General features: G+C 45.9%; 1 protein-coding gene across 17 annotated transcripts in view; it reads left to right on the forward strand.

The window, feature by feature from the left end:
* The window catches only part of TRMT44 (tRNA methyltransferase 44 homolog), a 76,174-nt gene that overhangs the window by 988 nt on the left and 51,998 nt on the right, over window positions 1–23,188 (forward strand). For 11 of the 17 annotated variants that reach the window (XM_047449685.1, XM_047449681.1, XM_047449679.1 and 8 more), the window contains exons 2-7: window positions 4,712–4,826; window positions 7,905–8,124; window positions 10,196–10,264; window positions 11,118–11,225; window positions 12,978–13,049; window positions 22,221–22,327. In XM_047449685.1, coding sequence (XP_047305641.1) covers window positions 4,712–4,826; window positions 7,905–8,124; window positions 10,196–10,264; window positions 11,118–11,225; window positions 12,978–13,049; window positions 22,221–22,327 — 691 coding nt within the window. The other 6 variants (XM_011513408.2, XM_011513409.4, XM_017007811.2 and 3 more) reach the window with 6 other exon arrangements.

The following is a 23,188-nucleotide window of genomic DNA, read 5'->3' on the forward strand; positions in this document are numbered from 1 at the left end:
TCAAAGTCCGGTGGCGACGAAGGAATGAGACGAGACAGGTTAAGAGTGCATAAAGATTGGGGGCCAGGGGGCCAATTGCAAAATGGAGGCTGCCAAAGCCTGGGAGCTCTGGTCTCCACACTATTGAGTACAATCACTTAGATCTAAGAAGCGGACGTTCGGGGCGAAAGGGTGAAAGGGAGACAGTGCATCATACATGTCATCTATAGCAGTGGCGGTTTAAATGAATCTCCTTTGTGCTCAAACAGCGTTATCTTTAACTTGTCGGAGAATAACCAGTGGGAGCGTGCTTAACTAGGAGCCTGCATGTCTGACCACATTGTAGTGATTCAAAGGAGTGTCTTTCTCCTTGAACACAGTGTTTATAGGTAAGACAGTAGGTCTCGCCCAGAGCATGGGAACATCATGACAATAAGAAGGCTTTCCTCCTCAGAGGCCTCTTGTGGCTTTCCACAACTTATTGTCTCATATTTTTATGGCCAGTTTATACAGGCATGCCATAAGCCTTTTCCCCAACATAAAGAGAGCTATTTATGCTGAGACAAATAACTGTGAAAGAGCATAGAGACTGGATGGATGGGAACCTACTAGTCCTCAGCGTTCGTTAAATCTCTGGCATTTATTTTTACTGCCCGTGACCTTGACACTTCAGCCTCAGCCACTCTTACCTGAAACTTTATTCAGCAGCATGTGTTTCGTATTGCCACTGTAACAAATTACTGCAAATTCATTGGTCAGTACAAAAAATTGATTGTCTCAGTTCTGTAGGTTAGGAATCCCCATTGGCTCTGCTGGTTTCTCCGCTGTGGGTCTCTCTCACGAGGCCAAAATCAAACAGCCTGCCGGCTGGGCTCTTATTTGGAGGTTCTGGGAAGGAATCTGTTCTCAGGCTCATTCAGTTCGTTGGTAGAATCCAATTTTTTATGTAGGACTGGGGTCCTTGTTCCCTTGCTGGCTGTCAGTTGCTGGAGGCTTCTTTCTGGTTCTTTCATGCAGCTTCCTACATCTCAGAGCCAGCAATGGGGTTGAATTCTTCTCATACTTGGAATCTCTCTGCCTTCCTCTCCTGCTGCTTCTCTCCTCCGCCTCCAGCCAGAGAAAATTCTCTGCTCTTCGTGGCCCATGGAGTTAGGCCGGGCTCACCTGGATAATCCAGAGTACTCTTCCTCTTGAGGTCTGTAACCATAATCATGTTTGCAAGTGCCCCTTTTGCCATATAATACAGTATATTCACGAGTCCTGGGTATTACGGCATGGACACTTTTGGGAGGCTCTTCTGCCTACCTCAGGCAGCAATTGCTGGGAGGTACATAGTCCCCTCTGATGGCTCCCAATACTGTCTGCCTCTGTGCCTTTGTAAGACTCTAGGTGTCCTCTCCTCCAGGGGGCCTCTCTGCCAGTCCAGTCTAGTTTAGGAGTTCTTCCAGCTCTTATCAACTGTGTTCTAATCTTAACCATTTTACGTTGTCCATCCACTGGACTGAGGATTGGAGAGGCAGTGCCCGTGAGGCCTTCATGTGTAGACTTCGCTGAACAGAGGGGTAGGACAGAATTTTTTCCTTTCTTCCTCTCAGGGAGGCAGTTTTCCCTCTCAACAAGGAGTACGTTTTCAGGATTGCTTTCTATATTCAGTTCCCGCCAGGAAGGCTCACCAGAGGACTTGTATCCTCCATGGAATATAGACAGCCTGGCTTTGAATTTTGGTCTTGCCAATTACAAGCTGTATGGCTGTGGGCAGGTTATAGAGCCTCTCTGTGCCTCAGTGTCTTCATTTGTAAAATAGGATAATAATAAAATATCTTGGAGTTGCTGGAAGAGTTAAATGGAATTAATACATTGTAAAGTGCTTAGAATAGTTCCTGGCACATGGTAAGTGCCTAATAAATGCTAGCTGCTGTTTGTGTGAAGTGGAGATGCTCTTGCAACTTTTGTATATTTCTTGGCCCTATTCTGGGTAAGATCACGAAGGTCTTAAGAGTAATGTGACTGTTCGAGACCAGCCTGGCCAACATGGTGAAACCCCGTCTCTACTAAAAATACAAAAAATTAGCCAGGCGTAGTGGCAGGTGCCTGTAATCCCAGCTACTCAGGAGACTGAGGCAGAAGAATGACGTGAACCCGGTGAGTGGAGGTTGCAGTGAACCAAGATTGTGCCACTGCATTCCAGCCTGGGCAGCAGACGGGGACTCAGTCTAAAAAAAAAAAAAAGGAATGTGACTAAGAAATCTTAACTGTTAGTAGCAGGTGACAGGATGACATAGTGGTTAAGAACTTGACTTCTTTAGTTAAAGAACAGAATTCAGTTTGAGGCTATGTGGATTTGAGACAGATTACTTAATCTGTTGAACGCCTGGTTTTCTCATCTAGAACAGAGGTTTCAGTCGGGGCAGTTTTGATCCTCAGAAGTTTGTCATTCAAACATCACATGTTCTCACTTATTTATGGGGTTTAAAAATCAAAACAATGGAACTCGTGGACATAGAGAGTGGAAGGATGGTTACCAGAGGGTGGGAAGGGGAGTGGAGGGTTGGGGGAGAGGTGGGATGGTTAAAGTGTACAAAAAAAATAGAATATGAATAACACCTAGTATATGATAGTCTAACAGGGGGATTATAATGAATAATAACTTAATTGTACTTTTTTTTTTTTTTTGAGAGTAGTCTCGCTCTGTGGCCCAGGCTAGAGTGCAGTGGTGTGATTTCAGCTCACTGCAACCTCCGCCTCCTGGGTTCGAGCGATTCTCCTAACTTAGCCTCCCAAGCAGCTGGGATTACAGGCATGTGCCACGACGCCCAGCTAATTTTTGTATTTTTCGTAGAGATGGGGTTTCACCATGTTGGCCAGACTGGTCTCCTACTCCTGACCTCACGTGATCCGCCTGCCTTGGCCTCCCAAAGTGCCGGGGTTACGGGCGTGAGCCACCTCTCCCGGCCACTATTGTACATTTTTAAATAACGAAAAGAGTGTAATTGGATTGTTTGTAACACAAAGGATAAATGTTTGAGGGGATGGATGCCCCATTCTCCATGATGTGATTAGTTCACATTGCATGCCTGGATCAAAACATTTCATGTACCCTGTAAATATATATACCTGCTATGTACCCACAAAAATGAAAAATTTAAAAATTTTAAAAATCGAAATTTATCATTGTGTAGCGACAACAGTGACAGCAGATTTGGGGTTGCCACACTGGGCAGGGAGGGAGAGGATGCTGCTGGCATCTAGTGGGTAGGGGCCAGGGCTTCTTATAAACATGCTACAGTGCACGGGACAACTCCCAACAATAAGGAGTTATCCAGCCACACATGCCAGTGACACTGAGGCTAAGAAACCCTGATCCAGAGGATGGTGAAAATAATACTGGATGATAAAGTTGTGAGCTTTATTTTACTTTATTTATTTTTTGTATAAATAGGGTCTTACTATGTTTCTTAGTCTGGTCTCTAACTCCTGGTTTCAAGTGAGCCTCGCACCTTGGCCTTCCAAAGTGCTGGGACAACAGGCATGGGCCATCACGCCTGGTCCTGTTGCAGTTTTTAAATGAGATAATTCATGGAAAGAATGATGCATTGTGTCAGTCCTCTTCTCTCTGGTCTCACTCACAGTAAAAGCTGTACTTCTATGAACTGCAAGGCCCTATGTGACCTGGGTGGGCCCTGTTACCCTTTGATTTCACCTTCTACCACTTGTCACCTTGTCCACGCCACTCACCTCCATTCCCCATGCACCTGAGCACACGCCTGCCCTAGGGCCTTTGCAATTGCTGCTCCTGTGTCTGAAACACTCTTCTTCCAGGTGCCCCATGGCACACTCCCTGACCTCCTTCGGCTCTCTGCTCAAATGTCACCTAACTAGGGAGGACTTCCCTGGCCACCCTGTATTCCATAGCAGTAGACTCTGATTGTTAGAGTTTTCTCGGCCCCACACTGCTTGCTTTCCATCTGAATCCACTTAGCCCCTTCAGCCTCTGCTTCCTTTTGGCAGGTCTTGTTCTTTCATCTGCTGTGGAAGGTGAACCACAGTTGTGCATATTTGGCCTGTGAAGTGTATATTCCTCTTTAACAGAGTTTGCAATTTTTTTTTAATATCAAAGGTAAACACGATTGATTTTAGAGATAGAACTTTATACAACCAAACCTTAAGTATCCACACAAACTGACAGAATGCTGTAAATTTAGCTTAGGAATATGCCACTCTGCTTATATTTTAATGGGAAGGTGACTGTGAAGTCCGTACATGCAGCAAGGGCTCCACACAACATAAAGCGGTTGTTAGGAAGGCCTGGACTGATATCCGCTTTCCTGAACTGGCCTCTGATGGCTGAGCAGTGTTCTGTGCCTTGCTCACACTCGAAGATCATGGTCAGGCTGTGGCAGACACTCAGTTAGGGCAGAGGTCCCCTGTTTTCTCTGATTGTAGCTCTCAAGTTCCAATAGAGTCCACATTGGCTGGCTCTTCCCTCAGGTCCTGGCTCATGCATCTCTCAACAGATACTTGCAGAGAATGGCTGCTGTATGCCTGGCACATTCTAGGCTGTGGGCTGTAGCAGTGAATGAAAGGCAAAAGTTCCTCTCCTGGAGTGCCATTGTGAATAGAGTGCTGGGGGATTGAAAGCATCGTGCTTGACTCATCCCTATTTTTAATACTGCTTCTGATGAGACGGTAGCTAGGCAGTTGTAATTTGTCCTTCTTCTCTTTTTCTTTCCAGATGTCCTCAATGGAACCATAACGTTTTTGCCTTTGGAAGAAGATGATGAGGGGAACCTAAAGGTTAAGATGAGCAATGTGTATCAAATTCAGCTCAGTCATAGCAAAGAAGAATGGTAAGAGCTGGACAGTGGACTCCTAGTTTTATGGTTTCCATTGAGGATTTCTTTAGGTAGCCAAAGGATTCTGGGTTGCCAGGGCTTAAGGTCCTGTCTCTGAGGTGGTTATGGTTTGTAGGAATGCAGTTGCTAGCTTATGTGCCCAGGCCATGTTGCTCTTCCTGTTGGTGCCTGGCCTCGAGTCTGGGTGGTCACAGCCTGGCTGGGGTTTCTGATCTCTACCTTCCCTGTGGCTGTGATGATCAGCAGCCCTTAGCATTAGCTCTGAAGTCAAACTCAAATTTCTTTATTGTTATTGTTATTATTATTATTGAGACAGTCTTACACTGTTGCCCAGGCTGGAGTGCATTGGTGCCATCGCATTTCACTGCAACCTCTACCTCCTGCATTTAAGTGATTCTCGTGCCTCAGTCTGCACAGTACAGGCACCCACCACCACACCCGGCTAATTTTTGTATTTTCAGTAGAGACGGGGTTTCGCCATGTTGGCCAGGCTGGTATCAAACTCCTGACCTCAGGTGATCCACCTGCCTTGGCCTCCCAAAGTGCTGAGATTTCAGGCATGAGCCACCAAGCCCAGCCTATTTTGTTATTTTTTATGACTTAGTAATGGGGAATAGGTGATGGTTCCTTCTGTAGTAAGTATTCAGTGATACTTATTATAAAGTAGCGGTTTAATAAGCACCCTTAATTCCATATGGTATTTGGGCCTGTATAGAAAGTATAAAATTTAATTCATACCGTTTGGTATTTTTAAAACGAAAAAGTCAGAGGAGGGGTGAATTCATTCATGACTTGTCAGCTGATATTTTCCTGAGTGCCACATCCAAGCTGTACTTTCCGAAACAGTCTTGGGGATAATGTCTGAGTAACTGGAATGAGTTTGCCCGGGGCTTCCTAGAAAGCAGAGGGATGTGGCGAGAAGAGCATGGGCTTCCCACTAGCAGTGTGGTCTTGGGGATGTGCTCTACCTCCTGGCCCTCTGTCTACTCACCTTGAAATGGGTTTAATCATTCCTGAGCCTCTGAGGAGGTGGCAGGGCTGGGCCTCACATGGATCTGTTGCAGCCTTCGTGCTTGAAAGGGGTGCTCAGGCCCTGTAGCATGAAGCCCTTTGAGAACCATCCAGAGGTTGCCCCGAGTTGTCAGGGGATCCTGCCCTGAGGTCCCTTCCTGCTAGCATGCCCTTGTTGGAGAGTGAGGAGTGAGAGCAGACACTAGGAGAAGCCATGCTTACCTGTGCCAGGCACCTCTGTGCTCGGCGATGCTGAACTGTGTGCCCATTAGCCAGAAAGTGGTGCCTGTCTTGGGGGCAGTGGGCACCTGGTGCAGGGCGGGGTTGCAGGAGGTGCTTGGCATGTGCCTGCTGCGTTGGAGTGACTTTCATTGCTCTTTGACAAGCTACTGAGGACGTGGCTGCTGCTCCCATCTTCCCAGGGTGGCATTTCTAGTCGGCATCGGAGTGACGTTCACTGCTCTTTAACGAGCTACTGAGGACGTGGCTGCTGCCCCCACCTTCCCAGGGTGGCATTTCTAGTCATAGCCTCACCGGGCCGCTATTCCTTGCAGTCTCTGGGCACAGGTCACACTTCAGGGGCCAGATGTACTGCCTTCTGAGTTGAACACAAATGAGGGGCTCCACTGTCGATGTGCGTGCTTCTTCGCAGCTGGATTCATTTTCGGCAACATTTGTTGTGTGCCCAGCATGTGTTAGGGCTGGCACGCAGCGGGAAGTGAGTCTCCTGGGGCAGTGGAGAATATCTGCTCCCATACTAGGTGGTGTAGGGAGGAAAACTCAGCCAAGCAGGACTGTGTCCCCTCAATAGAAACGGCAGAGTGTGGCCGAGGTATGTGGGAAGGCCTCTGAGAAGGGACATGGAAGAGAGGCGGATGAAGGAGGAGGCCGTATGGACCTCTGGGGGACCCTGGGGAAGAGCATGAGGCCCAGGGAAGAGCGAGGAACGCCCCTTGGGCAGAATCTCTGCAGCGCGCAGGGGCCACCAAAGTTAGTGTCAGGCCCAGCAGGAACGCTTCTGGACTGAGCAGGACAGACCTCACAGTCCCGAGCAGGGAGCTGGGCCAGGGGAAAGGTTCAGACCCACTTTGGGGTTGACTCTCTGGAGAATCTTCTGGAAGTGACTTGTGTCCCTCTAATGCACCGTGGTGGCAGAAAACCTGGAAACCACAGCTCTCACCAGACGGACCACTTGCCATTGTCCCCTCCAGTGGGGCCATGCTGCTGCCGCGCCCTCAGCACACTTGTGAGGCCCTCCGGCTCTGCCCCGCTCACCCAGTGGCTGGGATCTGCTTGTTCTTAGGAATGTCCGTTGAATGTCACTTTTATCGTAGCTTTCTCTCATCTGCCCAGCAAACTTAATGCCCTCCCCTTCCCTGTGCTGCCCCAAACGCAGCCCTTGGACAGTGTATTGTTATCTGGGTTTGTATCTGTCCCGCCAGTCCTCCCAAGGATTGTGAGCTTTTCCTCATTTATTGAATGCATCCATGAACAGTGCCTGCTATGTGTCAGCACTGCTGGGACCTGGGGGCGGAGCAGTGAGCAAGACAGACAGAAGCCCCCCACTGTCATGAACCTTCTGATGGCAGAAGACATGTGAAAGACAAAATAAGCCGGCAAAATGCACAGCAGCCTTTATCTCTGTGGCTGAGCACTTCGCCTTCTGGCAAGTAGCTATTCGGTGAGCCAGTATACTCATTTGAGTTGCACCTGTGAAAATGGTAAAGAATAGAAATGTTAGGAAAATCCTTGGACGCTTAGACTCTGGCTCCTTGTGCATGAAGCAGCAGGAGAGAGGCCTTTATTTGTTCAGCCGCCTCAGGGGCTTCGCAGTGTGTAAATATATCCTTAACAAAGTTTGCAAGAAAAGAGGGATTCTCTGTGCTTTTTACATGTTTTTCTCTATTAGATGAAAGTTCTGTAACTAGTTCTAGTTCGTTTTATGTTTTTGGTAATATAGATGTCTTAGCTTCTGTTTTCTTCATTAGGTAAATAAATAGATAATTTTAAAATAAGAATTGAACATATCTGTGCTTATTCATATTTCTCTTATTTTTAAAGGTTCATATCTGTTTTAATTTTCTGTCCAGAAAGATGGCATTCAGATGGAATCGTGTATCCCAAACCCACGTGGCTTGGAGAAGAGTTGCTGGCCAAGTTGGCCAAGTGGTCTGTAGAGAACAAGAAGAGTGACTTTAAAAGCACCCTTTCCCTCATCTCCATTATGAAGTATAGCAAGGCTTACCAGGAACTTAAAGAGAAGTATAAGGAAATGGTTAAGGTAATTCTGGTGGAGAATATCTGATTTTTCCCCCTTCATGATTTTCTTTTCTTTTCTTTTCTTTTTTTTTTTTTTTTTTTTTTTTTGCGACAGTCTTGTTCTGTCACCCCCCCAAAAAAAAGGGCCAGAGTGAAGTGGTGTGATCTTGGCTCACTGCAACCTCTGCCTCCCGGGTTCAAGAGATTCTCCTGCCTCAGCCTCTGGACTAGCTGGGACTACAGGAACATGCCACCACGCCTGGCTAATTTTTTGTATTTTTATTAGAGATGAGGTTTCACCATGTTGCCCAGACTGGTCTTGGCCTCCCAAAGTGCTAAGATTACAGGTGTGAGCCACCGTGTCCAGCTCACCCTTAATTTACATGAGGTAAAATAATCAAACTCTTCCAGGTAAAATTGTTTTTCCTGTTGCAGGCTGTACTTTGACATACTTAGGGGTGCACACAACAAAAACATAGACAGATATATAATGGAAAAGGATTGATCTTTACTTGTATATTATTTGTTTTCAAGAGACCTAAAGGGAAATATTTAATTGAAAAGTAATGGAACCTTGAAAAAAAAAATGGCTAAATTACCATAATTCTTTGTATAAACTTAAATATATTTTAAGAAAATATGTGAAAAGTTAAAATACAAAAGAGCAGTTCCCAAAAGGAGATACATTTCATAATAACATGTGCTTAAACTTTCTATCTAAGATGTAAAAACAGTATAACAAGAAACATCTGTGTTGCGGGAAGTCAGGGACCCCGAATTGGGGGCGGGTTCCCCCAATACATCTGTGTGTTTATGCCCAGCTTAAGGCAGAAGGCATTGCTGGTAGAGTCAAAGCTACTTACTATTCTTCCTAGTTCCCATCTTCCTCCCCGTCCTAGGAGTAACCACAATTTGTCATTTCCATGTTTTTTTTTTTTTTTTTTTTTTTGAGACAGGCTCTCACTCTGTCGCCTAGGCTGGGGTGCAGTGGTGCAATCTTGGCTCACTGGAGACTCAACCTCCCGGGCTCAAGCGATTCTCCCTAGTAGCTGGGACCACAGGCAGATGCTACCATGCCTGGCTAATTTTTTGTATTTTTTGTAGAGACAAAGTTTTGCCATGTTTCCCAGGGCTCAAGTGTTCTGCCTGCTTTGGCCTCCTAAAGTGCTTGGATTACAGGCTTGAGCCACTGCCCGGCTTCCATGTATTTTTTTAATCAGTCACGTCTTGCTCTGTAACAAAAGCACCCCAAAGGTCACAGGCTTAAAGCTGTGACCTTTCATTATTGCTGAAGCACCTGTGGGTCCCCGGGGTTGGCTGACTGAGGCTGGGCTCCCTCCCACATCCTGGCCTCGTGGTCCTTTGCCATCTTGTTAGCTATTTGGTACCGTCCAGAAGGTACTTTTTATGTTTTTCCAGCTTTTGAAATTGTTTCTAGTGGGATGGTTCATCTGTATTGTCTAAGGCGCTGTGACTGGAAATAGAAATTTCAACTTTTAACATTGGCCATTGGTTTTTCCTGTTTTGCCTAATGCCAGTTCTGAACATGACTAATTTTAATAATGAGAGCTCATGTTTGCACAGCTAGTGCTTTACAGTTTTCAGAGCACCTTGATTATCCTGTGTGTTAGTTGAGGCATGGCTTTATCCCTGTTTGACAGGTAGGGCGACAGCAGCCACTGATGGACCAGGGGCTGGAGCACTGGTCTCCTAGTTTGTGGCTCGCGGCTCTCCCTGCCCTAGTTTCACTCCCACGCCTAGTTTCCTTGTTTGTTGCCCTTATCTGCATAGACAATGAGCACAGTGTAGCTAAGTGTTTCCTCTGTGTCCACTGCCTCAGCTAAATGCCTTAGGTACATTCTGTTGATTGTGAAATCTTGCTTTGGATTGGATTGTTCTTGGCATGCCTTGTTTCTTTATGTAAATCTTTTATTGTAAGAAACCAGTTGTGAATTCCTGCCTTTGAGCTTATGTTTCCTATTTTAGTGTACGATTAGTCCAGTTTGATTTATGCTTTATAGGGATACTTAAAGTATTGGGAAATGGTGGTGGGGAAACCGAACAATTTATGTTTGCTCTTGAAACTGTTTTAGGTGTGGCCTGAAGTCACTGATCCTGAGAAGTTCGTGTATGAAGATGTGGCTATCGCAGCATACCTGCTGGTAAGGGTGTAAGCGACCTCAGCTTCTCTGGAGTGGGTGGAGTTTGCTACAGGCAGATGTTCCCTGTAGTGAAGGACATTTTCCAAATCCATAACTGCCGGTGCTCACAATTCTGCTGGCCAAGGTTGGTTTCTCGTGTAATGGTTTGACTTCATGTGGTCCTTTTGATGCGTATACAACAAGTTTGGGTTGAAACTTGACCTCGGGTTCCAACTTGACCTGCAGGCGGAACTGTACGTCCACACTCAGCAGTCATCGTGGAGGCACCGGCTGGCACAGGGAAGCACTGAGGAACACGTGTCTTCCGGCCCTGGCCTAGAACCTTCTAGCCCTTTCCTCAGCTGGCTCGCTAGCTGGCTACATTTGGACATGCCCTCTGATTTAATCATCTTGGTTTACTTATCTATAAGAATGTTTAGAGTAGGCTGGGTTTGGTGGCTCAAGCCTGTAATTCCCAGCACTTCGGGAGGCCGAGGCGGGCAGATCACTTGAGGTCAGGAGTTTGAGACCAGCCTGGCCAACATGGTGAAACCCTGTCTCTACTAAAAATACAAAATTAGCCAGGCGTGGTGGCAGGAGCCCATAGTTCCAGCTACTGGGGAGGCTGAGGCAGGAGAATTGCTTGAACCCAGGAGGCGGAGGTTGCAGTGACCAGAGATTGCATCATTGCACTCTAGCCTGGGCGGCAAGAGCAACACTCCATCTCAAAAAAAGAAAAAAAAAAAAGAATGTTTAGTGTAGATGATTTCAAGTTTCCTTTCACTCAGAGTTTTCTTTGACCAGTTTGTGTCTAAATTATTCTTGCGTAGAGTGAATTACCACCTGACTTTGTTTTGTTTTTCTCTTCACTTAGATTCTATGGGAAGAAGAAAGGGCTGAGAGGAGACTAACTGCCAGGCAGTCCTTTGTGGACCTGGGATGTGGAAATGGCCTCCTGGTCCACATCCTGAGCAGTGAGGGGGTAAGGCCCGGCTCCATCACCTTTTCTGGTAACTTGTCCAGAGTTTCCTCAAGTCAGGCACAGGGTTCACTGACATCTTTTTCTGCTGATACAGCCTGGATTTGGAGTCAGCCAGCTATCAGAGTAGGTAGAGACTTATAAATTTCTGTTAATCTGATAAACAAACAGCTCCTAAAACAAGGGAAACGTGGTGATCTCATTGGACCTAAGAGGAAGTCCCCGGGCCCCGGCATGGACCTATAAAATGACAGGCTTTGGGTAGCATGGATGTTTTTTTGCTGTCAGATTTTTCTTTTGAAACCCACCATCTCAAGGAGCTGGAGGGAGATAAAAAGCAAGGCAGGTTCTGCACTTGAGAAGCTTCAGGCCAGGCACGGGGCTCACGCCTGCAATCCTAACACTTGGGTGGCCGAGGCGGGTGGATCACTTGAGCCCGGGAGTTTGAGACCAGCCTGGGCAACATAGTGAAACCCCATCTCTGCAAAAAAAAGAAAAACAAATAAGAGAAGCTTCAGTTCTGGCTCGGACGGCCAGTCATGTATACACAGACAACAGTATGGAACAGTGTGGTGTGTGGTACTGGGTTTTGCCCTTATTTTCTGGATGTTCAGCTGATGCAGTGAAAGCACTCTTGGGCTGAGAGCGGCACCTGCCCAGGTAGCACGGTCAGTAGGGGTGGGTGTCTTGTGCCTGGAACTTCCTGCCAGCAACTTATACCCCTCCTGGTGCGTCCAGCGCGTCAGGTGCCATTACCCCATGATATGATGGCCAGCTTAGCCACTTCCTGCTAGGGGGCAACAGCTGGAACCTGCAGCCCAATATTGATGGTTCCAAACTGATTATCTTCCTGCTATGCTGTACTGTACAGTACTGTACTGATAGGCTGCGCATATTTGTCTACACCTGTAAGAGCTTGAAATGGTTGTTACAATGCCCTTTTTCAAGTGTGTTATTAAAGAATGAGTTTCTAATCATAATACCTATAAGCTGGTTGTGGGGGTGGTAGTGTATCAGGTGGCAGCTTGGTAGCTGGTACCTGGAGACAGCTGGGAGGTGTCTCGTGCACCCCTCCTCTTCTGCAGGCTTGGCAGAAATAAGTTTGCCCTATGAGAGCCAATGAGTGTGGCCAAGGTGCAAGAAGAGCCAGCAGCTGACCTTGACTGAGAGCAGAGAATTGGCTCACGTTCTCAGGTGTGCTCCCTGGGGCACTGGCCCTGGAAATGTTCCCACACTAAAGGCCACTGTGGTCACTCAACTCCATGTCCCATCTTGAACTCCATGTCCCATCATAATGACCATTAGCGCAGTACACCTTCTTACCTGCCTTGCAGGGGTGTGGGTATCTGTTTTAGACAGCTGAGAAATTCTGGTGTCATCCATGAATGCTAATGACACACTTGAAAAAGGGCACTGTAACAACCATTCCAAGCTCTTAGAGGCGTAGGCAAATATGTGCAGGCCATCAGTACAGTACTGTGCAGTACAGCAGCAAGAAAATCAGCTTGGTACCACCAGACTGGGCTGCAGGTTCCAGCTGTTGCTGCTAGCAGGAAGTGGCTAAGCTGGCCATCGTATCACAGGGTAATGGCACCTGGTGCGCTGGACACATCAGGATGGGTATGAGTTGCTGGCAGGAAGCTCTTCTCTTGCCCTTCGTCCTGCTGGCAGTGCCTGCAGAACTTTAATGTGTTCTTGCTAACTTATTATGAAGTACTAAGGTTAACCTTTGATTTCTAAAATTAATTTTTTCAGCATCCAGGCAGAGGGATTGATGTCCGAAGAAGAAAAATCTGGGACATGTATGGACCACAAACTCAGTTAGAGGTACCGTCTTTATTACGCATGCCCTTGATCTCAGCATGGCTTAGCTCCCAGTGGGAATTGCTGTAATGAATGTGTCTCTTTGTATAGGTCAAGCAGACATGCTGATAGTAAACCTTCACATTAATCTAAGTGCTCTGAAATTAGAGAAGAGAAAAAGAGACATGAAACTAGACTTCACAGAACCTTCTGGTTAAACTGACTGAAGGGCGCTGACCTCCAGGCAGAAGTGCTGTCTCTCCCTGAGTTTGTTGGTGCCGTTTGTATCTTGTGTGGGGTGCTCCCGTGCAGCCTTGAGGTGGGGGCTGTGCCCCGTGCATTTTGCGAAGTCTTCTCCAAGGCCTCCCAAAGGCTGCTCGTTCAGTCAGCAAGCAGTTAGTACCCTGCCTGCCAGGACTGCGCCAGGGATGGGGACACCTGCAGATGAGCCACAAAGGGCGGTGGCTGTGCCAGGGCTGGGATAGAAGGTTTAGAGGGCTGTGGGGACTCAAAGGAGGGGCTTGACCCTACTTGGGGCCTCTGAGAAGGCTTCTTGGAGCACCCCCATGAGCAAGTGGAGGCAGCCAGGTGCCCAGCACGGAAGCGAGATGCCCCCTGGCGGGATCACCTCCGGGCACACAGATGATGTGTAGGGCAGACTGTGCAGTCCCACGTAATTTCTCTCATATCTTTGGGCCAGTCCTCTTTACCCTTGACATTTCCCTTTTTTAGGACTTGAAACAGTCTCACTTTTCTTAATGCCCCTACCCAGAGATAATCACTCTCTTTTATTTAGGGAAATCAATATGTACACATTTACAGTTTTAAAAAATAATATTTGTGACCATGGTGTATACGGAACTTTGACCCTGGCTGCTTCTGCTCATTTAACATCCCATTCTAGGCATTTTCTGAAGTCTTTGACAATTATTTGCAAGCATGTTGTTAATGGCTGTACAATGTTCCATTGAATTGTAGGTAACAACAACACAAGTACAGCTGGCCCTTGAACAACACGGGATTGAACTTTGTGGGCCAGTTTTATACAGATTTTTTTCAATAAATACATTGGAAAATTTTATTGGAAATTTGCAACAATTTGAAAAAACTGACAGATGAAATGCATAACCTAGAAATATTGAAAAAAATTCAGAAAAAGTTAGATATGTCCTGAATGCATTAAATATACGTACATACTAGTCTATTTTACCATTTACAACCATGAAATACATACAAATCTATTATAAGAAGTTAAAATCTATCAAAACTTACACAAACCCAGACTGTATGTGGTGTCATTCTCTGTCAAGAGAAACGCAAATGTAAAGATGCAGTATTGAATCATAATTGCATGAAACTAACTGTAGTCCATTCAGTGCTACTGTAAAATTTCCTGGTCACTGCTCGTTCCTACTGCAGTGAGCCCAAGTGTTTCAAGTGCCCAATTAAAATGCTGTGTGACACCGATCACCTCTGTGGCACCAGCTCATTCCTCCAGTCAGTTGCATAGCCTAGTGAAACGTGATCTCTGGTATTTTTCAACGTGTTTGGTGCAATACTGTAAACCTCGAGTAGCACTGCAGGACCCATACACAATGCCACTGGTGATGCTGGAAGTCTCCCAAGAAGCAGAGAAAAGTTACGGCATTAGAAGAAAAGGCTGAGTTCCTTGATATGTCTTATAGATTTCAGTCTGCAGCTGCAGTTGCCCACCATTTCAAGATAAATGAATCCAGTGTAAGAACTGTTGTTAAAAAAAAAAAAAAAAGCAAGAGAGGGAAAGAAATTTGTGAAACTGTCACTGCAGGTACACCAGCAGGCGGGTGTATTCATCTCATATTTAGAATGCAGCTTTGATATGGTTGCAGGATTGCTACAAGAAAAGCATACATACAGACTCTAATATGATTTGAGAAAAGGTGAAGTCATTATATGACAAAGCAGAAAGAAGGTGAAGGTTCTAAAGCTGGAGAATTTAATGCCAACAAAAGATGATTTGATAGTTTTAGAAAGTGACTTGGGTTGTAAAAATATCTAGATAACAGGAGGAGTAGCTTTAGCTGACCAAGAGGCAGCAGATGAGTTCCCAGATGCCATTAAGAAAATCACCAGAGAGGCCAGGTGTGGTGGCTCATGCCTGTAATCTTAGCACTTTGGGAGCCCAAGGCTGGAGGATCGCTTGAGGCCAGGAGTTCAAGACCAGTCTGGGCAATATAGCAAGACACCCGCCCCCCCCCCCCAACTATCTCTACAAAAAATAAAACATTGTAAAAAGAAAATCATCAAGGAGAAAGGATGTCTGCCTGAACAGGTTTTTAATGCAGATGAAAGTACCCTATTCTGGAAAAAATGCCAAAAAGGAGAGAAGTAAGCCCCAGAATTTAAGGCAGGAAGGGACAGGCTAGGTCTGCTGTTCTGTGCAAATGGAATCAGATTTATGATCAGGACTGCCCTTATCTGTAAAGCTGCTAAGCCCAGGTCTTGAAGGGAAAAGAGAAACACCAGCTGCCAGTCACTTGATTGTACAAGAAGGCCTGGGCAGCAAGAACTCTAGTGTTGTTTCATCAAGGCTTTGTCTCTGAAGTCAGGAAGTACCTGGTTAGTAAGGGACTACCTTTTAAAGTTCTGTTGATATTGGACAATGCTCCTGGCCACCCAGAACCTCTTGAGTTAACACCAATGGTGTTGATGTGGTCTGCTTGACCCCAAACACAGCTTCTCTTTTCAGCCTCTAGATCAGAGAGTTACAAGGACCTTTAAGCCTCATTATGCACAGTATTCAATGGAAAGGATTGGATGCTGTGGAAGAGAACTACAAGAGAGAATATCATGAAAATCCTGCAAGGATTTTACCATTGAAGACACCGTCATTGCTACAGAAAAGGCCATGAAAGCTACCGAGCCTGAAACAAATTCCCGCCAGAGAAAATAGTGTCCAGATGTTGGCCTGACTTCACAGGATTTATAGCAGAGCCAGTCAAGGAAATCATGAAAGAGTTGTGGATATGGCAAAGGTGGGCGATGAAGGGTGGAAGTGTCATGCCTGACTTCACAGGATTTACAACAGAGCCAGTCAAGGAAATCATGAAAGAGACTGTGGATATAGCAAACAAAGGCAGGAGATGAAGGGTGCAAGATACGGATCTTGAGAAATTCAAGAGCTAATAGACTCCACTCCAGAGGAATTAACTACAGACGACCTGATGGAGATGAGTGCTGCCAACCCAGCGCCAGATGATGAGGAAGAATATGTAAAAGAGACAGTGCCAGAAAGCAAATTAACAGACAGTGTGGCAGAAGGGCCCTGATTATTCCAGACTGCATTTGACTTCTTTTATGCCATAGACTCTTCTGCGATATGCACTGAAACTAAAGGAAATGATGGAAGAAGGATTGGCACTGATAGAAACGTTTTTAGAGAAACTAAAAAGTAAAGCAGACAGAAATTATGATGTATTTCATGAAGTTACACTGAATGTGCCTGCCTCTCCTGCCTCCCTTCCACCTCCTCCATGTCTTCCACACCTGAGACAGCAAGACCCGTCCCTTCTCTTCCTTCTCCTCCTCAGCCTGCTCAGTGTGAAGAGGATGGGGATGAAGATCTTTGTGATGGTCGGTCCACTTCCACTCAATGAATAGTAAATTTTCTCTTTCTTATGATTTTCTTTTCTTTTCTTTTTTTTTTTTTTTTTGAGACGGAGTCTTGCTCTGTCGCCCAGGCTGGAGTGCAGTGGTGTGATCTAGGTTCACTGCAACCTCTGCCTTCCAGGTTCAAGCAGTTCAGCCTCTCGAGTAGCTGGGATTACAGGTGCCCACCATCATGCCCAGCTATTTTTTGTATTTTTGGTAGAGATGGGGTTTCACCATGTTGGCCAGGCTGGTCTCGAACTCCTGACCTCAAGTGATCCACCCACCTCGGCCTCCCAAAGTACTGTGATTACAGGTGTGAACCACTGCAGCCAGCCACGATTTTCTTAATAACATTTTCTCTAGCTTTATTTTAAGGATATAGTATATAATACACAAAATGTGTTTTAATCGACTTTTATGTTTATATTATTGATAAGTCTTCTGGTCAACAATAGGCTATGAGTAGTCAGTTTTGGGGGAGTCAGAAGTTATACATGGGCCAGGTACAGTGGCTCACACCAGCAATCCTAGCTCTTTGGGAGGCCAAGGCATGAGGATCACTTGAGTCCAGGAGTGCGAGACCAGCCAGGGCAACGTGGCAAAATCCCATCTCTACTAAAAAAAAAAAAAAAATTAGCTGGACATGGTGGCATGCACCTGTAGTCCCAGCTACGCGGGAGGCTGAGGTTGGGGGATCACCTGAGTTTGGGAGGTTGAGACTGCGGTGAGCCAAGATTGTGCCACTGCACACCAGCCTGGGCGACGCAAGTGAGACTCTGTCTCCAAAAGTTATACATAGATTCTTAACTGCATCTGTAGGGGTTCAGAACCCCCAACCCCCACTTTGTTCAAGGGCCAGCTGTATAGTAATAAAAACTGACAGTCATCCAGTGCTGTGTGTGGATGCCTTTCTAAAGGTAAATGTATTTTATGTACAGTAACTTACCATAATCCGCACAACAGCACTGGGAGGTTGATTCTCTTATTATCCCCATTTTACAGGCGAGGAAACCGAGGTACCCTTGGGGAGGTTAGGTCAGCCATGTGTACGGCAAGCGGTGAAGGCAGAATTATTTACTCAGCTCTTCTGTTCTTGACCATCTGTTTTCAGATTACAAATTACACTACATAAATCTTTGTGTGTAAATCATAGTCCACTTAAAAAATATTTTTCCTACCTGGACTTTAAAGATTTTCAATACATATTGCCATAATGCTTTTCGAAAAGGTCCTACTTCAGATATGCTTCATTTCAGCAAGAATTCTGAGCACTACAAGAGATGCATCCAATGGGAGAAAAAACAGCTGTACACATTTATCACATATTTGAGTGTCCCCTACCTGCCGGGCACTCTTAGGTGCTGACGATTTAACAGTGACAAGAGCCCCTGCCTTTATGGTCATGGGAAGGGGTGGGAGGCAGACACACAGCCAGTGTGTGCAGCAGGTTCGAGGGTGGTGGCAGGTGCTGAGGAGGAGGCTGGGGGTGTTGTGTAGTGGCCGCCGCTGGAGAAGAGAACAGAACAGAGGCTGGGCCAGGGTGGGCTACAGACATCAAGACACCCGGGGGTCTGGGCCTGACAGCACATCTATTCCACGCTGTCAGCCAGCCCTGGGCACTAGAGCCATGTGACCGTGGGGTTAAAGTGCACTCAGATCAGTCAGATCTTGGTCAAGAGTAGCTTGCTTCTCCTGGTACTGAGGACAGAGAAAATGACTCCCTAATGGGAAAAAAGTCATGAGTAGCCCTCAGGAGCCGTCCTAGGACAGGTTATAGTATAGTGGCTCTGTGGGCGTGGCCTCACTTTCCCAGGGTGGTGTGGGAGTGGCCTCTCCCTCTGGGTGTGACTGGGTCACAGAGCCTCATCTGCCAGAGGGCAGAATGTTGTTTTATGAGATGAAAAAATGTTGACTTTTCATCATGGAGAATGTCAGGAATATACAAAAGTAGAGAGAGGAATGTAGGTACTCCATGCAGTCACCCAGCCAGCTGCAAGGATTATTCTTTTCTCTATCACTTACCCTCAAGCAGCTCCCACTGTTATTTTGAAACAAATCTCAGGCATATCATTTCATAGAAATAGAAAATCAAAAATAAGTAGAAAAATATTCCAAAACTATTTTTATGTTTTCTGTTGGCCTCACTCTTTTTTTTTTTTTGAGAACTATCACCCAGGCTGGAGTGGTACAGTGGCGTGATCTCGGCTCACTGCAGCCTCCACCTCCCAGGTTCAAGGGATTCTTGTGCCTCAACCTCCCGGGTAGCTAGGACCACAGGCGCGCACCACCACTACGCCTGACTAATTGTATTTTTAGTAGAGACGGGGTTTTGCCATGTTGGCCAGGCTGATCTGGCTCTGGCCTCAAGTGATCCACCTGCCTCGGCCTCCCAAAGTGCTGGGATTATAGGCATGAGCCACCACACGCAGCCCCCCTTTTATTTTTTTGGAGACAGGGTCTCAATCTGTTGCCCAGGCTGGAGTACACTGATGTGATCACGGCTCACTGTGGCCTCAACCTTCTGGACTGAGTGATCTTCCCACCTCAGCCTCCGAGTAGCTGGGGCCGCAGGTGCACACCACCATGCCTGACTAATTTTGTGTTTGTTTTTTGTTGAAACAGGGTCTTCCTATGTTGCCCAGGCTGGTCTCAAACTCTGGGGCTCAAGTGATCCTCCCACCTCGGCCTCCCACAGGGCTGGGATGACAATGAGCCGCTGCGCCGGGCCAGGGTGCTTACTCTTTGCTTGTACATTTACTCTTTGCTTTGTTTTACAGTGATTGGCAGTTGCTTGTCCACTCATACATTACATTAGGAAATGTTTTCAAAACCTCAGGTTTGAGGAATGTTGGTAATCTAGCCAGTGCACTCGGGAGGCTCTGCAAATATGTGTGTAGACTATAGACTCTCACACATGTCCCAGAATCGGGCTCTAAACTTGGCTATGAAGTTAATGATCAAAGCTAAAGCAGTAGTGGTGTGGTTGATTTCAAAATTCCATGTGTCCCCAGGTGAAAAAGCACCTTTGGGTAGGAAATTCAAGCAGCAGTGAGTAGGCCATCTGTGTAAGCCCAGACCCTAGGGAAGAGCTGGCTGCTGAGGGTGCCCCTTGGAGAACGGGCGGAGGCTCTAGTTCTTTAGCTGAGGTTTCCCAGCAGCCTGCATCAGACTTTTCTGTAGGGTCATCTGACCTGGGGAAGACCCTACCCCGAGCACTTAGTCAGGAAAGGCCTGCTGTTGAGAGTTCTGTATTCTAATCAAGTGTGTAGGTTTTTTCCTTGTTACCTCCCAACCTTCAGTCTCGGTGCTAAAATAGCCATGTTTATTCTAGTGTTAAATAAATGCCAGGAGTTCTGTCATGCTTTCTGCCTTGGAGGAGCATGGCCAGAATGAGGGTGGTTCCGTTGACGTGCACATGGTGTTTGTGGATTTTCTAGTGAATGATTTCCTTCCAGCTGCAGTTGAGTGGTTTCCACGAACAGGTACAATCTAGAAAGTCAAAGGCCAGGCGTAGAATATAACTTTTTTTCTTTCTTTCAAAAACCTCATTTGATTGCAAGCAAGAGAGTGTTAAAAAACTAAAAACAAAACACCTGTTTATAACAACAGCCTGGTGGTGATCACAAATTGTCTTAATTGTGTGAACCTGTATATGAAACAGGAATATTGGAATTTGCTGTGTTCAAAATGCCAGTGAAAAGTTCATAAAAGCCGGGTGTGGTGGCTCACGCCTGTAATCCCAGCACTTTGGGAGGCCGAGGTGGGCACATCACCTGAGGTCGGGAGTTCAAGACCAGCCTGACCAACATGGAGAAACCCCCGTCTCTACTAAAAATACAAAATTAGCCAGGTGAGATGGCGCATGCCTGTAATCCTAGCTACTCGGGAGGCTGAGGCAGGAGAATCTCTTGAACCAGGGAGGCTGAGGTTGCAGTGAGCCGAGATCGCACCACTGCACGCCAGCCTAGGCAACAAGAGCGATACTCCGTCTCAAAGAAAAACAACGGCTGGGCGTGGTGGCTCATGCCTGTAATCCCAGCACTTTGGGAGGCCAAAGCAGGTAGATCACGAGGTCACGAGATCGAGACCAGCCTGACTAACATGGTGAAACCCCATCTCTACTAAAAATACAAAAATTAGCTGGGTGTGGTGGCGGGTGCCTGTAATCCCAGCTACTCAGGAGGCTGAGGCAGTAGAATTGCTTGAACCTGGGAAGCGGAGGTTGCAGTGAGCCGAGATCGCGCCACTGCACTCCAGCCTGGTGACGGAGCAAGACTCCGTCTCAAAAACAACAACAACAAAACAAAACAAAACAAAAAAACTTCATAAAACAGGTGGGGCTTTGATATCTAGTGCTGTTGGCAAGATAATATAAAATATGATTATGGTCTTTACTAAATGTCAGTTATGCTTTAATTTATTCACGCCATTTAAAGAGACAGATGGGCAAACTTAAATCTAGAATGAGTGGGAATCAAGAATAAATAGTCCCAAAGGTTTGATATTTCTGTAGATCATACGTATACCCTTGAACAATACTATTTTCAGTATTTTAACATCTATGTAAGTAGAAGCACATATGCTTATTGAAGAACCAGAGAGAGACAGAATTTCAGTTTTAGTTTTTTACTTACCATGTCTGTAAAACATTCTTGTGTTATAGTTTTGCTGTTAGAAAGAATAGCCTTGAAGAGTGAGTGTTCTCAGAATGTCTTCCCCATTATGATCAGGGAATAACTTCTGTTCACTTATCTTGGGGACTCATCCTACCACTGGAAAATTAAGAAGATTTTCAATGGTTGTGTGGTCTCTCTTCCCCCTCTCTCTTTCCAGTTTTTACTGACAGAATTGCTATTGAAACTGTTGATTTCAGTAATTAGTGATGGCCTGCTGATTATCAGAAAGGGTAGGGTGCCTATTTAAAGTTCTTAAATCATAAAAGCAAGCTGTCCTCAGCTTAACTGCAGAATTTGTCAGAATGGTTAGAGTGCCTATTCAGGGGGATCTTAATCACTTTCTGACAGTTTACAAAAGGTAATAGTCTAATGGTAAAGAATTTCGTGTATTTACATATGTAAATTCTCTGTCTATTCATAGACTTGGTTTCCTAGATTGAAAGGCCTGTGAGGTTAGACCCCTGTGTTGTATTACGCCCTTAAATCACCTTCAGACCTCTCTGCCTTCCATTCACTTCCTCCGAAGCCATTGCTTGCTCCCATGCTCTGCCAGAGGTGAAACCGTTCCGTGGCCGTCTCTCCTGGAGCTCCTTCTTATGCCTGTGGAAAAATCAGCTTTTAAATGATCCAAAGGCGATTAGCACTCAGAAAAGTGCTGTTAGTTTCTCCGGTGATTTCCCTAAAAGTTGCCAGCATTTCTTGCCCTCTAGGCAGACCTAGGGAGGATACATTGACTTCCCCGCTCTTCCCCGCTCTTGGTCATGCAGCAGGTGAACTGCGGCTCTGCGCTGTGTGACTCCAGAGCCTGTACCCTCCCGCCATGTCCTGCCCACGCAGTAGCTCTACAATGATTCACAAAACATTTCGTCTTGTTTTGTTATTCCTTTAGGAAGATGCAATCACACCCAATGATAAGACCCTTTTCCCTGATGTTGATTGGTTAATCGGTAACCATTCTGATGAACTCACACCATGGATACCTGTCATTGCAGCCAGGTGAGAAGTAGAGGAGTTATCAGGTGAATGGCTGGGGAATGCTTCATCTTCTAAACAGTGGTGTCCAAAAGGGTAGCCACTAGCTGCGTGCAGTTGTCAAGCACTTGAAATGTGGGTAGTTCCAATTGTTGAAATGTTTGCTTATTGCCTGTATTGGGTTAAATTTAAAATAAATTCCACCTGTTTTATTTTACCTTTTAAAATATGACTACTGGAAAATATAAAATTACTGAGATTGTTCACATTATATCTCTGTTGGCCAGCACTGATTGGCACTGTGATTACTTCTACGGTATTTATATCCGGTGTCAAAAGAGGTGTCCTTTTTGGAAGTTTTTTTCTGAAAACATGAGGCTTTGCCTTTAAAGGGGAAATCTACCCATCGATAGACCCTCTGCAGCCACAGTTGCCTCCGCACGGGGAGCTGTGTGTGTCCGAGAGACTTGGTCACGAAGCAGGTTGTGCTGCTCCTCGTTGACGTTTCGTTGCTGAGTCTCCTTATCTCAGATTCTTCTGAGCTGTTTTCATTCTCAAGGAGTAACTAGGTGAAAGATCAGGTCTTCGCTCAGGCTTCGTTGTGCTTCCCTTTAACCGTTCCTATTAAAAGCTGACGTCTTAAAGTACTTCAAGAAGTTTCAGATGACCCTTGATAACAGGAACTGTGGAAAAAATCATTTTTATAAAAGTAATTAGATTCTATTGAAAAGATATACTATGTTGCTTTATTTCTAGAAATTAACTTGGGGAAGGCTGTAATTCATCTTTTAATATGAAAAACAATATTACACAGCCACAAAGAAAAGGAAATCATGTCCTTTGCAGCAACATGGGGTGCAGCTGGAGGCCATTATCCTCAGTAAA

This window comes from Homo sapiens, chromosome 4 (genome assembly GCF_000001405.40).
Source record: "Homo sapiens chromosome 4, GRCh38.p14 Primary Assembly".
Lineage (NCBI taxonomy): Eukaryota > Metazoa > Chordata > Mammalia > Primates > Hominidae > Homo > Homo sapiens.